At 38.3% G+C, this 15,045-nt stretch overlaps 1 protein-coding gene and 1 long non-coding RNA gene across 12 annotated transcripts in view, besides 1 other annotated feature; one reads left to right on the top strand and one right to left on the bottom strand.

Annotated features, from left to right (window-relative positions):
* The window catches only part of ABCA9 (ATP binding cassette subfamily A member 9), a 104,490-nt gene that overhangs the window by 60,644 nt on the left and 28,801 nt on the right, over positions 1 to 15,045 (top strand). For all 11 annotated transcript variants that reach the window (XR_007065256.1, XM_017024011.2, NM_080283.4 and 8 more), the window contains 5 exons: positions 545 to 678; positions 1,944 to 2,081; positions 6,251 to 6,358; positions 10,099 to 10,272; positions 10,462 to 10,575. Coding sequence is in view for 10 of the 11 variants with exons in the window: in XM_017024011.2 (XP_016879500.1) it covers positions 545 to 678; positions 1,944 to 2,081; positions 6,251 to 6,358; positions 10,099 to 10,272; positions 10,462 to 10,575 (668 nt within the window). In the remaining variant the exon portion in view is untranslated. The remainder of the gene's footprint in view (positions 1 to 544; positions 679 to 1,943; positions 2,082 to 6,250; positions 6,359 to 10,098; positions 10,273 to 10,461; positions 10,576 to 15,045) is intronic.
* Positions 11 to 13,620, bottom strand: ABCA9-AS1 (ABCA9 antisense RNA 1). The gene is made up of 4 exons (NR_126414.1): positions 13,541 to 13,620; positions 6,231 to 6,351; positions 5,981 to 6,082; positions 11 to 230 (listed from the first exon to the last, which is right to left on the bottom strand). It is a non-coding gene; the product is annotated as an ABCA9 antisense RNA 1 (long non-coding RNA).
* Positions 6,550 to 6,750: a silencer, noted in NCBI's record as "peak2963 fragment used in MPRA reporter construct". NCBI's record gives its function as "represses an SCP1 promoter by STARR-seq MPRAs in K562 erythroleukemia cells {active_cell/tissue: K562}" and the evidence as "EXISTENCE:reporter gene assay evidence [ECO:0000049][PMID:32103011]".

Genomic DNA, 15,045 nt, shown 5'->3' with positions numbered 1-15,045 from the left:
AAAAAATAAACTCTGTATGTTTTAGAAAGCATATATGAGGCCAAACAGAAAATAAATTAAAAAATGAAAAATACGACATGGGAGAGTTTGTTTTAGAAATAGATTCTGCAAGTTTACTTAACCTTAATGTTTGTTGCACAAAGCAACTAAAGAGGAGGTAGGGAGGTAAATCATTGACTCACCTCTGAGGTCTTTGTGTATCATTTTGTAAATCTGTGCTGTGCTGGGCTCTGGAAAAAAATGTTTCAAATTTAAAAAGATAGATAGACTATTAATAGCTTCAAGGATTATAATGTTAACAGCAATTCTTATTTCTATACTAATAGAAATTATAATGAAATGCCTAGGCTCTAGATAAAGTAACCTTGTCATACCTATGATGTTAGACTGGATTGTTGTACCAGAACATCAATTCTGCTTTTTTAAGAAAAGCCTTAGACAGTCCTTTTGTGTGATATGCTTTGTGTGATGTAATGTATTTTTAATATTACTTGACTATTGTTTTATTTCATTTTTGCTTCCTTTAATCTTTGCCTTCATGTAGGGTCAACCATTGATAACTTTTTACATTCACTGAGGCGACAGAACATAGCTATAGAAGTGGATGCCTTTGGAACTAGAAATGGCACAGATGACCCATCTTACAATGGTGCTATCATTGTGTCAGGTGATGAAAAGGTATGCTGGACTCCAGTTGCTGCATTTCACCAAAGGTGGACTATGGGTGTACAATTTGAATAATTCATATCAGCTGAATGAAAGGCCAATTTCACACAAACAAATGGGATAGTTCTCATTTTTATAGAAGAAGCTGGACTACAATTATTTCCCCATAGCCTTCAGCATGGCAATATGAAATGAAATTTATTTGATTTTATTCCTGATTAAGTTGAATGCACTGCTATAATAATTTATTTAGATCGTTATTATCAATTGGATTCCATTCCAATAATTAAATTAAATCTCATTCTCAGTTGGAACTGAGAACAACTGCCCAATGTAGACTTGGCCTTTGCTTTTCTGATTTCTATGTCTGCATACTGCTTTGCTCATTCATATCACCTGCCTAGACCCTGTAGGAATTTGAGTCAGAGATCTCTACAGTAGGCAAATTGAAAAGATGAGATAATTATGTTAAATGCATAAATCATAGCTGTTAGGTGTCACGAAGTGTGGCCATTTGTAATTTGTCACAGTTAATTTTCAGGAATAAACTCCATGCCAAAAATAAAGTAAGAAATTACCTTCAAGATAGTTCTCATTATATCTTAAGTTTATTTTTCAGTATGCTCAGTAAAATAGTTTTAACATCAATAAACATTGCTTTAGGTAATTAGGTTAAATACAATACACTTGATTTATTTATGATTGCAAAAATGTGTTCTCAAAGCTTGCCCACATTTTGGGCAATATGGATAATGAATTTACTTATATTTTTCTCTGAGGGAAAAATAATCACATTATACACACACACACACACGTTATTTTAAGGGAGACTTTACAAGTAAGCACAGGATTTATGAAAACCTATACTTTCATTACAACTTTCTGCCTGCCTCCTATTTCTCAAGTATCCAAACATTATATACTTATAAAATGAATGTGTCACATTTTGAAACAAAGTCTATAGCCAGGTTAAACTGAGGTTGCACTATGGAGTTTCGTAGTGTTGCTGCTAAATATCATTTGAAGTATTTTGTTTTGTGATGTTTGGGCATAAATAGCCACATGGTTGATGTTATGGTGGGTAGAAACCAAAATACCGGATTCTTTAAGTATACTTAAGAATTAATCAAATATTATGAGTGATAGTGATATTAATCACATTCAGTGCTTGGGACTTATTATATTATCAGTAACTTGAATGATTTTCTAACATGTTCACTCATTAAATTTTGTCTTTGCTTTATGAAGACTTCGAATTGGTACTTGTTGTATTTCAGGATCACAGATTTTCAATAGCATGTAATACAAAACGGCTGAATTGCTTTCCTGTCCTCCTGGATGTCATTAGCAATGGACTACTTGGAATTTTTAATTCGTCAGAACACATTCAGACTGACAGAAGCACATTTTTTGAAGTAAGTATAATTATATCTCATTTATACTGTGCCATGATAAGTTTTCAAGAAAATTCTTGAAATGCTAAAATAATGTTATATTACTTTTTGTGAATCTATTCTTAAACTTGTGTGTGTGTGTGTGTGTGTATATATATATATATATATATACACACACACATATAAATCTGTGTGCAATATTTTATATATATATAAATCACTGTATATGTAATATACATACACACACACAATTTAGAAATGACCACGCAACATTATAACACACACACACACACACACACACACAATTTAGAATTGACCACACAATATTATAACCTTATTCAGATGACTTGGTGTCAATAGAGCAACAGAAAAATACAACTCATTATGACTTTTGGTCTAGATCTGTCACCATCTGTGGCCCTAGGTAGTGGGACATTGTTGAAACAGACTTAAAGGTCAGACTATGTGACCTTCTTAAGCAACTTGACTTCTACAGGCTATAGGTCATCAATTTACAAAAAACAGATTAAAGACTTTATCACAAAAGTTTCTTAAGAAGTAAATGAGGCAATGTGAGCACCTGGCTAAGTTGGACCAGTTATTGTAGGAACGAGTGATGAGGCACCTAAAATAGGACAACTGCAGGTGCTCAGTAAATTATATTTCTCATTATTATTGCTATTAAAACTATTTTTCTTGGGATGCATCAAAAGAAGTTTCCATTAAATAATGTTCAGCTTTATTAGATCTGGGGACTGGCTGAATGAGAACTAAGGCAGTTCTTGTTTAAAATCTAATTTCTCAGGCCTGCTTAGATGCCCAGAGGCAGAAGATCTGGGGTAGAGATGTGGGTGTGCACTTCTATGTCTTCAGGTCACCTCTTTCATCTTGTTATGTTGAAACACACTTCGTCTGGTGAAAATGACACCCTGGCCATATTCTATAGCTTCTTGGTTACTTTTTGTTATGAAGGATCATTCTAGTGCAGTCCCAAACTTCAATTTTCTATTCAATTTAAACTTTGCAGGGTCAAATTGTGGCCTAAGGGGCATGGAAGAGGGTGGGTAGTTGTGGTGTGATTTGCTCTTCCATTTCCCTTTGCAGTCTAACACATGGAATAGAAAAGGGAGGGTGTCCTAGCTCTCAGACAATCCCCTTTCCCTCCCCTTCTGAGTAAAGCACTGCTATGCTGGAGGCAGAATGGAAGAATGGAGAGCTGGAGCTCTTCCTATGGAACTGGTGCTGGGGAGACATCATGCTTTCTCTAGTTGCTAGCAGTTTCTACGTATGTGGTCACCACAGCCCAGGTGACCCATGTAATTGTCTTGGGGTGGTGTTTAGCTTGGCCCCAGACCCTTCTGTAGGTGATGACACACCCAGGGTTGCAGAGTCTCTTTAGGCTGCTGCAGGAAAGTCCATACTGTCAAACTTTCTCCAGTCTACATTGTTCATTGTTTGATGTGTCCATCCTCCAGGTAATTCAACAACTTCTGCCTTGCTTTAACCTCTGTGCTTCCTCAGAAAGAGCTATGAGAGCTGTTGAGTGCTTCTTGCATGCTGCCTGAAAGCTACAGAGGTTTGGGGATGTGAAGGAGATTGCCCTGTCTTCTCCAAAGCACATCATACCATTGTTTTTTTCAAGCCACGTTTCAGCAGTCCTGCTTCCTTCAAAAATTTCTTGGACAAAACCAGATATTTCCCATGTAATTTATATGTATTAGCATGTTTAAATGTCCCAAGCAGACTTTGAAATAGTTGTTACTATTCCTATTATAGATTGAGCATCCCTTATCTGAAACGTTTGGGACCAGAAGTGTTTCGGATTCTCGATTTTTTCAGATTTTGGAATATTTGCATTTACATAATGAGATATATTGGGGATGGGACCCAAGTCTAAACATGAAATTCGTTTGTTTCATGTGCACCTTTTACACAGAGCCTGAAGATATTTTTATTCAATGTTTTTAATAAACTCTGTGTTGTGTGCCTATGTTTTGAATGTGACCCTTCACATGAGGTCAGGTATGGAATTTTCCACTTGTAGTGTCATGTTGGCACTCAAAGAGTTTTGAATTTTGGAGCATTTCAGATTTCAGATTTTCAGATTAGGGATTCTCAACTTGTGTTATTATTAGACAGCTGAGGAAACTGTAGCCCACTGAGGTGTCACTGTGTTTCATTATCTATTATATTTGAGTAGGCTAGCCAATTATCTGGATGACAAAGAATAGGATGTTCCCAAGAATGAGCAAGTGACCTGAATTCCCACCTTTAAAAAGATGTCTTCACTACAGAATATTGGCTACCCACCAGCCCAGCTGACCTTGAGTTCATAGGTAGACAAATTATCTCTTTGAATTGCCACCTCTGGTTTCCCCACCCAGCTCCTGGCATTCTCTGTTACAATTTTGTAAGCCTATTCCACTTGATCCTAAAGTAAAGTACCAGGCTCACTGTAGCTCAGGTCTTGCTGCTGATCCCTCTCAATAATTTTTATCATCTATCGGAGTGTCCTACAGCACTCCCATCCAGCCATTCCTGCAAGTCATCACCCGGCCAAACTACCCAGGAGGCATCCAGTGTCTTTCAGCTTAGGAAGGACCCTGTCAGGCTGAGTCACATCAAACTCTGACTGTGGGTGGATATGATCTAACACAGACATAATATGTCATTTATGAACCCAGTCATGAGTAAGGAAGCTGGTTGTCAAGATGAATTGTGATTTTTTCCTCCCCCAGAGGTCTTCCAAATCAGGAAAATCAACAATGGTATCCACAGGCAAAGATATGAGATGGGGGATGTAGTCTTTGGCACCCTTTTTTCCCCTCCCAGGGCCTTATCTACACAAACACATCTTTAGACAAGCAAGTTTTATATGCTGTAATGTCTCAGAGGGGTGCTGAGTTTTAGGAGGGAGTAAGAGAACAGAGAAGTAAAGAAACTTCAAAACTCATCATACCAGATGACTTGCAATGTAGTGAGGTAACTGATGATAGATCAAATTAAGGTTTGTACTACCATACAATCCATCAATCTCACCTTTGCTACCCCCACAAAAGGAAATAAGTATATCAAAGAGATATCCACACTCTCATGTTTGTTACAGCACTGTTCACAATAGCCAAGATTTGGAAGAAACCTAAGTGTCCATCAACAGATGAATGGATAAAGAAAATGAGGTACATATACACAATGGAGTACTATTCAGCCATAAAAAGGAATGAAAACCTGTCATTTGCAACAACGTAGATGGAACTGGAGATCACTATGCTAAATAAAATAAGCCAGGCACAGAAAGACACACATTGCATGTTCTCATTTATTTGTGGGATCTGAAAATTAAAACAGTTGAACTCATGGACGTAGTCAAATGATGGTTACCAGAGGCTGGGAAAGGGAGTGGGAATGGTTAATAGGTACAAAAAATAGATACAGAAAGAATGAATAAGACCTAGTATTTTATAGCACAACAGGGTGACTCTAGTCAATAATAATTTAATCATATACTTAAAAATAACTAAAAGAGTATAATTGGATTGTTTGTAACGCAAAGGATAAATGCTTGAGGGTATGGATACCCCATTCTCCATGATGTGCTTACTTCACATTGCATGCCTGTGTCAAAACATCTCATGTACCCCATAAATATATACATCTACTATGTACCCACAAATTTTAAATTTTTTTTTCAAAATTAAGGCTTGTAGCAAAACTCAAGATCCTCTTTAATATGTACAGGGTTTTGATTTTTTTTTTTAACATAGTGCCTAACATGGAGGGCGTGCTGACCATTTTTCTCCTAGCCCCTCCACTGACAGTCCACAATCTCTATTGTCTCTTAAAACATCAGCCTTGATGTATATAAGCAATGCATGTAAGATTGTAACCATAAAGTCAGAGAAAAGACGTTTCATGCCTACCTTACAAGTTATTAACTGTATGACCTTAGACAATTCGTATCACTTGGTTGAATTTGCTTCTTCATAAGTAAATCAGGCTACGTGTTCAGAAGGTCCTAGTTGCTGCAATACAGGATTGAAAATGAATGTGGGTAAGAAGTTGCATATAGGACCTTGAGAAGCACTTTGAGTGATCAGCTCAATTCATTTATTTGAGTGATTTAGTTAAGAAAGTACAGATGAAACAGATGCCCAATCGCCATCAGCTCACCATGTTCCACATGATTTCAGGAGCATATGGATTATGAGTATGGGTACCGAAGTAACACCTTCTTCTGGATACCGATGGCAGCCTCTTTCACTCCATACATTGCAATGAGCAGCATTGGTGACTACAAAGTAAGAAGAGTTAAAGTCTTCACATGTTTTTTATATCTAGAGAACCCTTCCCACACCCTTACGACTATAAATTTACATGCAAGTGGTAAATCTAATTTTTGTACTTGATGCAATGAATAATCAAGCACTTTAATAATAATTGTCAAATATGAAGAAAATGCTATCTTTCTGAAACAAATGTGAGACCTCAGGAAGGACAGCTTAGATGTCATCTGCTAACAGGGAATGACAACTTTCAAATGTTTATCACTTAAAATTTGACTTATAAGACTTACTCACAGACATAATCACATCTCATCTCTCAATGGTGGTTTCTACTTTCCAGATGGTGCTAAAGCTACTCAGTTTAAAAGCCCTGACCAACTCACCACAGCACTTTGACTTGTTGTTGGAAAATATTGTCCATTTAAAGCTCCATTTTTGTGAGTTTTTAAAAAATAAAATTCGAGGAGCCTGTAACAGAGTCTATCTGCTACTCTCCCATGTCTTCATGTCCTTGTCATCATCCACTGATGCTCAGGACATGTTTTTGAAGGGCTTGACTTAATTTTTATTTATTCTGCTCTTAAACTGTCCCTATCTTTAGTGACTTCTCCCATAAGAAACACAAAATACTATTTTTCCTTTACTTTTATAAGACCACACATTCACTGTCTTTTTCCTCCTGCTCTTGTCACTCTTTCTCACACTTTTTTTGGGGTAAACTCCTCTGAGTTCAAATCTCAATATTTCCATTGTCAAGCTGCATGAATCTCAAAAGTTACTTAATCACTCTATGCCTCATTTTGATCGTCTATAAAATGAGATACTAGTTACATCTATTTGAAATAGGTTTCTGTGAGGATGTGGTGATATAATACCAATGAGTTACTTAGAACCATACTTGCCATATAGTAACTTTCCCATAAATGTTAATGCTTGATGTCTAAATGTCCAGGCTTTAGTTCTAGGGCCCTTTTCAGCTAGTTCCAGAATTCTTGACTTCTATATGTACAGTGGCCTATGTGATATTACCATATAGCTGAGTAATAGATATTTCACACATGGGCAAAATAAAACTTTTTATTTTCCTAACCAGTTGTGCTCACTTCATGATTTTCCTGTTTTAGCAAATGGCACTATTGTCTACAGTTGCTCTAGCATAAAATTTTCGCATTATCGTTGTCTCTTTATCTCCTTTATTTAATCCATTGGAAATTCTTTTAAGTTCTACTTCAAACCCATCCATTTCTCTCCCTCTCCACTATTTTCTTCGTGGTCTAAGTCATCATCATTCCTTGCCTAAACCACTGCAAGAGTTACCCATAGGTTTCCTTATTTGCAATTAATTCCTTTCATACAACCAGAGCAAACTTTCAGAAGTTTAAATTAGATCATCTCATTACCTTATTTAACAACCCCGGCAGTTTCTCTTTGCAGGTAGAATTAAATTCTAATTATTTATGTTGTCTGGCAGAGCCCTCCCTCCCTCATTTGTCTCTTGTTTATCTCTCTACCTTTCCTCCTTGTACTCTCCTCCTCTAGCTACCCCACTTTTCCTTCTGGTTCTCAAATATGCCAATATCATCTGGGCCTTTACATTGGCCATTTCTTCTGGCTGGAATGCTCTTTCTTCTGTTCTTTCTACAGCTGGCTTTTTTGTAATTCAGATCTCAGCGCAAATATTTAAGTATTTCAGCCAAGACCCCTTCTCTGCTTAACCAGTCTGAAATAGATTTCCCATAACTATTATATGAGCTTATCTTAAAAATCTATGCATGGTACTTATCATTATCTGAACCTTTGCTTTTTTTTTTTTTTAATTAACTGTCTCCTGTCAACTAGGAATAAACATCATCAGCACAGGAATGTTTTTCTCTAAATTTTACGTACTTCGTTGTTACTCATCTCTATAAATAATGGATCACCTTTCATTCTTTTACTCTTGACTGAAACCTAAGAGCTATTTTTGTTAGGATGCCAGAATTAAGCAAATAAAATTACAGACACCCAGTTAAGATTTAATATGAGAAACAATGAATTTTTTTAGTATAAGTATTTTCCAGATATTGCATGGGACATATTTATACTCAAAAAGTTATTTATCTAAAATTCAAATTTAACTGGCAACCCCACGATGTCAATGTCTTTCTTTCTCTCTCATCTTCATAGCTGGCTAATGGTGAAGTCACGGAATATACTTCTGAAATATTTATGGAATCTTTCTAGAAAGTTTTCCTCCATCTCTCCTACAAAACACCAGCCAGAGCCATCATCATCTCTCTTCTGGATGAGCACAACAGCCACCCTATAAGTCCATATTAGTCGTCTCTATTTTTCATCCAGTGTGACAGAGTAATACCTTAAAAACACAAAGCTGACCATGTTAATTCTCTGTCTAAATCTCTTCAATGGTTTCTCGTCATACCAAGGAGCAGGATTGAAATCCTTGCCATTGTCTGAAAGCCATGAGTGATCTGGGCCCAGGTGTATCTTACTCCCTTAATCTGATGCTACTGACACCTTGATAACCATGCTCCAGCCACACTGGCTTCTTTCTAGCTTCCCAGAACATCAGCCTCTTTCCACGGAAGGGTCTTCTCTCCTGCTGTTCTCTCTGCCCACAGTGCTTTCTGACCGGTCACCCAGATATATCCTATTCACTGCCCATACCCTAACTCATGACTTCACAAGGGAACCTTCTCTGACCTGACCCCCGAGTTACAATTCGTTTCTCTTTGAAAGGCTGTAATACAACCCTGAATTCTTCTTAACACATGTACAATTTTACTTAGGTAGCTATCACTATATTTATTTGCCTATTGCCTCTATTTCCTCTTCCCCTGCAACTTAAATTTATAAGTGCCCCGTGACCAATATGAAGCCAGCCATACGGTATACATTCTGTAAATATATATTAAATAAGTTGATGAATAGAAAATAGCAAGCTCTCTAACGGTCCTCACTATCATCCTCTTTCCTACTTCCTTCCAGATGTACTCTCCTTTCCAGAATTATTTGCATTCCAGTTTTTTGCTAATGAATCTCCTTATATAGACTCAATTTTAGATTTGAAATTTTAATTGCCTTTATGCTTTACTGTTTAAAATAGTCCAGGTCACATTTTCAAGACCTTGTGTTATGACAATCACTGCAATAATGTGACTTATAGTGGTCACAATAGCAAAATCCACTCACCAGTTTTCACAGTGTGATGATGAAAAATATGACTTACGGCAAGACAATAAGAATAGTGCAACATTTTAAAGGCAGTCTTGCCGATTCCAACCTAAACAGTTTTTAAATGAAATCAACTAGAGGACCATTTCTTAGACCCAAAATAAAATGCCAATGATAAATGCACTGTTTACATTCAGCATAAATTTTAAGTGTCTTACAGGAAATGGTAATCCTACTTCTGTTGAACCTTTGTGCAATGTGCAAGTTTTCACGTCGAAGGAAAGAATAGTCTTGCAAAGAAAAGATGTCTTCTCACTGAGGCCATGCCCAATCATTCTGTGACATAACATTAGCTAGTTATGTTGGTGCGTTTTCCCTTTAGACAATGAAATAATGACGTGGCTTGCAGCATTATCAATGCCTCTGAACAAGGGTGTGGCGAGTGGTGGTATCATTTGCTAAATCAGGATAATATTTCTAAAAGGCGAAGCAAAAATGAATGCTTTCATGACTGTATATTTGCAATTTCCCAAACTTCAGCTCTTCAGAACCTTTTGATGATTCTTCTATTTCTTTATCAGAAAAAAGCTCATTCCCAGCTACGGATTTCAGGCCTCTACCCTTCTGCATACTGGTTTGGCCAAGCACTGGTGGATGTTTCCCTGTACTTTTTGATCCTCCTGCTAATGCAAATAATGGATTATATTTTTAGCCCAGAGGAGATTATATTTATAATTCAAAACCTGTTAATTCAAGTAAGTGGCAGCAATTTTGAAATGGTTTTATTAGACTATTTTTTCATGAATGCAGTAATATCATTAATCTTAAACCAAAGAACTTCAAATTACCTGTGCTATTGCATAGTTTTGGAAAATTGAAGAGTAAATATGAGTACTCTTCTAGATAGTATTTACCTTATTGGACCTTAACATTTCTGTTTTCAGATCCTGTGTAGTATTGGCTATGTCTCATCTCTTGTTTTCTTGACATATGTGATTTCATTCATTTTTCGCAATGGGAGAAAAAATAGTGGCATTTGGTCATTTTTCTTCTTAATTGTGAGTATGCATATACTACCTATTATTTTACCATTTTTCATAAATCCAAGAACATGTTTAATCTTTGTGCTAAGCAGAGTGGCAAATTATTATTGCTCTCTAGAAAATTTTAATTCTTCTAAGATAATCAAAGTACTATTTAAAGTCTACTCTATGAGTGAGTGTATGTTATCTATAAACTATGCTCTTCAAACATATCTCCAGGTCTAACTTCTCCCCTGAGTAGAGACTTCTGCTTCTAGCAATTCACTTGCAATTTCACCTGAATATTTAAAGAAGACCTTAGTGATCACATACCGGAAATGTAATTGTCACCTCAATCTTATTCTTCATCATTTCTTTTTTTCTTTTTCTTTCTGAGACAGAGTCTCGCTCTGTCGCCCAGGCTGGAGTGCAGTGGAATGATCTCAGCTCACTGCAACCTCCGCCTCCCATGTTCAAGCAATTCTCCTGCCTCAGCCTCCTGAGTAGCTAGGATTACAGGTGTGCGCCACCACACCCGGCTAATTTTTGTATTTTTAGTAGAGACGGGGTTTCACCATATTGGCCAGGCTGGTCATGAACTCCTGACCTCATGACCCACCCAAAGTGCTGGGATTACAGGCGTGAGCCACCGTGCCTGGCCTTCATCATTTCTGAATAGATTACATTATTGCAGCAGAATCCACCTAGCTATTTTCTCATTCTAAAAGTTTGGAATCATCCTTGATCACGCCCCATTTTTTCCTTCATTCAATCCACATGCATGTCATTTAAACTCTAGACATTTCCCAGTCTGCCTGATGTGTCCCAACTTCACTGCTCTATCCATTGCCTATGCTTTCATACTCTGTCACCTAGAGTAGCGCAACATATCTGTAACTGGTCTCTCTGTTTCTACTCTTGCCTCCTGTGAACTATTTTCTATATAATATCCAATGAGATCTTTTCAAAATAAATTTTAGTTGAAAAGTATAGCCTACATTATAGAAAAGTTCACACATTTTAAGCACACCTAGTAATGTTCTATTTATTGATGTGTCTGGTAGTTTTTTTGAGCACTTCCCCAAAACTACCAGGTACATCAATAAATAGAACAATACTAGAACCCTAGAAGCCCCCTTCCATCCCATTTCCAATTTCCCTCCTCCTTGTAAAAATCATTACTCCTATTATATTAACATAGGTAATGTAGCCAGTTTCTGAACTTAATAAAAATGGAATCATGTAGAAGGCATAATTATATATCTGTATATAATCGACAATAGGTTATTTAGAATCATCCATGCTGTTGCATTTGATAACAACCAGAATAGTTTATTCCTTTTCATTGCTGTAATAGTCTACTGATGAATGTGCTATAATTTATTTATTCATTGTTGATGGACATTCAAGTGGCTTCTTGTTTTGAACTGCTATAAATAACACTGCCATGAACTTTCTTGTTCTTGTATGTCTTTTGTTGCATGTGTGTGTATATCTTGAGATGTAAACCTAGCAGTGGAATTACTAGGTCACAATGTATTCAACTTTATGTTCAACTTTAGTTGATCTTGCCAAACAGTTTTTCAAAGAGGTGGAACCACCCACAGAGTATGAGAATTCCAGGGGATGATATGGGGGATGCCTCACATTTGAAAGAAACTAAAATAAAATACCATGAGTAAATACAAATTAGAAAATAAGAAGAAAAGACAATGACTTCCAGACTGGGTTAAAAAAATTAGCTATATGTTTGTTAAAATAAACACATCTAAGTCATGGGCAATGACTTAACAGGCATTTTTAAAATGAGGAAATTAGAAATGGCTGCCCAAATAGCAGATGAAGTCAAGTTCTAGACCTAAAGTCTTAAATAAGGAAAGAAATATGTTGACAAAATGCAAAATCCATGCAGAAAATGGAAGTCTCCTTATTTGTTTAGCAAATAATACACAACAGCAAAATACATCACACAATCCTCTCCAAAGATCCAAGTGGAACTTAAATCACCTGTTTCAGAACTAGAAGATTAGTTGGAAAAAAAAATAAGCCAGCATGTAGAAATTTAAATTAAACATCATACAAGTTATATTTGATTAGGTATGTAGACAGAGAACCTCTTTGTTCGTAGAGCAGGGTAGAACGAAACAAAGAAAACCGAAGTGGAAATGTGGTGGCCAAGGAACGAAGTCCCTGATACGGAGCTTTTCCTAAGTCTACTTCCATCCTCAACAAGCAATTTTGATGAGGAAAACTTAGTTGATAAAATGCTAATAATTGGCTCTAAAAAGGTATACATGAGTGACTGAGTTAACATCCTAGCACAGGTAAATAAAAACCCTTGAGAGAAGAATGCTTCACCTGGAGAGGTGGGATGCTGAGGTTTGCTATTTTACAGGGCTCTGGACTGAATTGGACTGTGGCCCAACGTCTAATAGGGTGCCCACCCCTTGACAATGAGATTCACTGCCTACTAGGTAGGGTGAAAACTGGTGCAGAACACTGGACATGACCTAAAGGAGAAAGCAATAAGGCTACACACAGCCTAAGCTGAGGACGCTGTATGCATCTAGGCCTCCAGGCTTCAAAGGTACTGATAGAAAGCAAGGCCCTACATCAAAATATTACTCAGAGAAAAAGATAAGCCAGGAGGGACGAGCCAAGATGGCCGAATAGGAACAGCTCCGGTCTACAGCTCCCAGCCTGAGCGACGCAGAAGACGGGTGATTTCTGCATTTCCATCTGAGGTAGCGGGTTCATCTCACTAGGGAGTGCCAGACAGTGGGCGCAGGTCAGTGGGTGCGCGCACCATGCACGAGCCGAAGCAGGGCGAGGCATTGCCTCACTCGGGAAGCGCAAGGGGTCAGGGAGTTCCCTTTCTTAATCAAAGAAAGGGGTGACAGACGGCACCTGGAAAATCGGGAAAATCGGGTCACTCCCACCCGAATACTGCACTTTTCCGACGGGCTTAAAAAACGGCGCACCACGAGATTATATCCCCCACCTGGCTCAGAGGGTCCTACGCCCACGGAGTCTCGCTGATTGCTAGCACAGCAGTCTGAGATCAAACTGCAAGGCGGCAGCGAGGCTGGGGGAGGGGCGCCTGCCATTGCCCAGGCTTGCTTAGGTAAACAAAGCAGCTGGGAAGCTCGAACTGGGTGGAGCCCACCACAGCTCAAGGAGGCCTACCTGCCTCTGTAGGCTCCACCTCTGGGGGCAGGGCACAGACAAACAAAAAGACAGCAGTAACCTCTGCAGACTTAAATGTCCCTGTCTGACAGCTTTGAAGAAAGCAGTGGTTCTCCCAGTACGCAGCTGGAGATCTGAGAACGGGCAGACTGCCTCCTCAAGTGGGTCCCTGACCCCTGAGCAGCCTAACTGGGAGGCACCCTCCAGCAGGGGCACACTGACACCTCACACTGCAGGGTACTCCAACAGACCTGCAGCTCAGGGTCCTGTCCGTTAGAAGGAAAACTAACAAACAGAAAGGACATCCACACCAAAAACCCCATCTGTACATCACCATCATCAAAGACCAAAAGTAGATAAAACCACAAAGATGGGGAAAAAACAGAACAGAAAAACTGGAAACTCTAAAAATCAGAGCGCCTCTCCTCCTCCAAAGGAGTGCAGCTCCTCACCAGCAACGGAACAAAGCTGGATGGAGAATGACTTTGACAAGCTGAGAGAAGAAGGCTTCAGACGATCAAATTACTCTGAGCTACGGGAAGACATGCAAACCAAAGGCAAAGAAGTTGAAAACTTTGAAAAAAATTTAGAAGAAAGTATAACTAGAATAACGAATACAGAGAAGTGCTTAAAGGAGCTGATAGAGCTGAAAACCAAGGCTCGAGAACTACGTGAAGAATGCAGAAGCCTCAGGAGCCCACGTGATCAACTGGAAGAAAGGGTATCAGCGATGGAAGATGAAATGAATGAAATGAAGCGAGAAGGGAAGTTTAGAGAAAAAAGAATAAAAAGAAATCAGCAAAACCTCCAAGAAATATGGGACTATGTGAAAAGACCAAATCTACGTCTGATTGGTGTACCTGAAAGTGATGGGGAGAATGGAACCAAGTTGGAAAACACTCTGCAGGATAGTATCCAGGAGAATTTCCCCAATCTAGCAAGGCAGGCCAACGTTCAGATTCAGGAAATACAGAGAACGCCACAAAGATACTCCTCGAGAAGAGCAACTCCAAGACACATAATTGTCAGATTCACCAAAGTTGAAATGAAGGAAAAAATGTTAAGGGCAGCCAGAGAGAAAGGTCGGGTTACCCTCAAAGGGAAGCCCATCAGACTAACAGTGGATCTCTCGGCAGAAACCCTACAAGCCAGAAGAGAGTGGGGGCCAATATTCAACATTCTTAAAGAAAAGAATTTTCAACCCAGAATTTCATATCCAGCCAAACTAAGCTTCATAAGTGAAGGAGAAATAAAATCCTTTACAGACAAGCAAATGCTGAGAGATTTTGTCACCACCAGGCCTGCCCTAAAAGAGCTCCT

The sequence above is a fragment of the Homo sapiens genome, chromosome 17 (genome assembly GCF_000001405.40).
Source record: "Homo sapiens chromosome 17, GRCh38.p14 Primary Assembly".
NCBI classification, from domain to species: Eukaryota; Metazoa; Chordata; class Mammalia; order Primates; family Hominidae; genus Homo; species Homo sapiens.
This window is presented reverse-complemented; position numbering and strand designations above follow the sequence as displayed.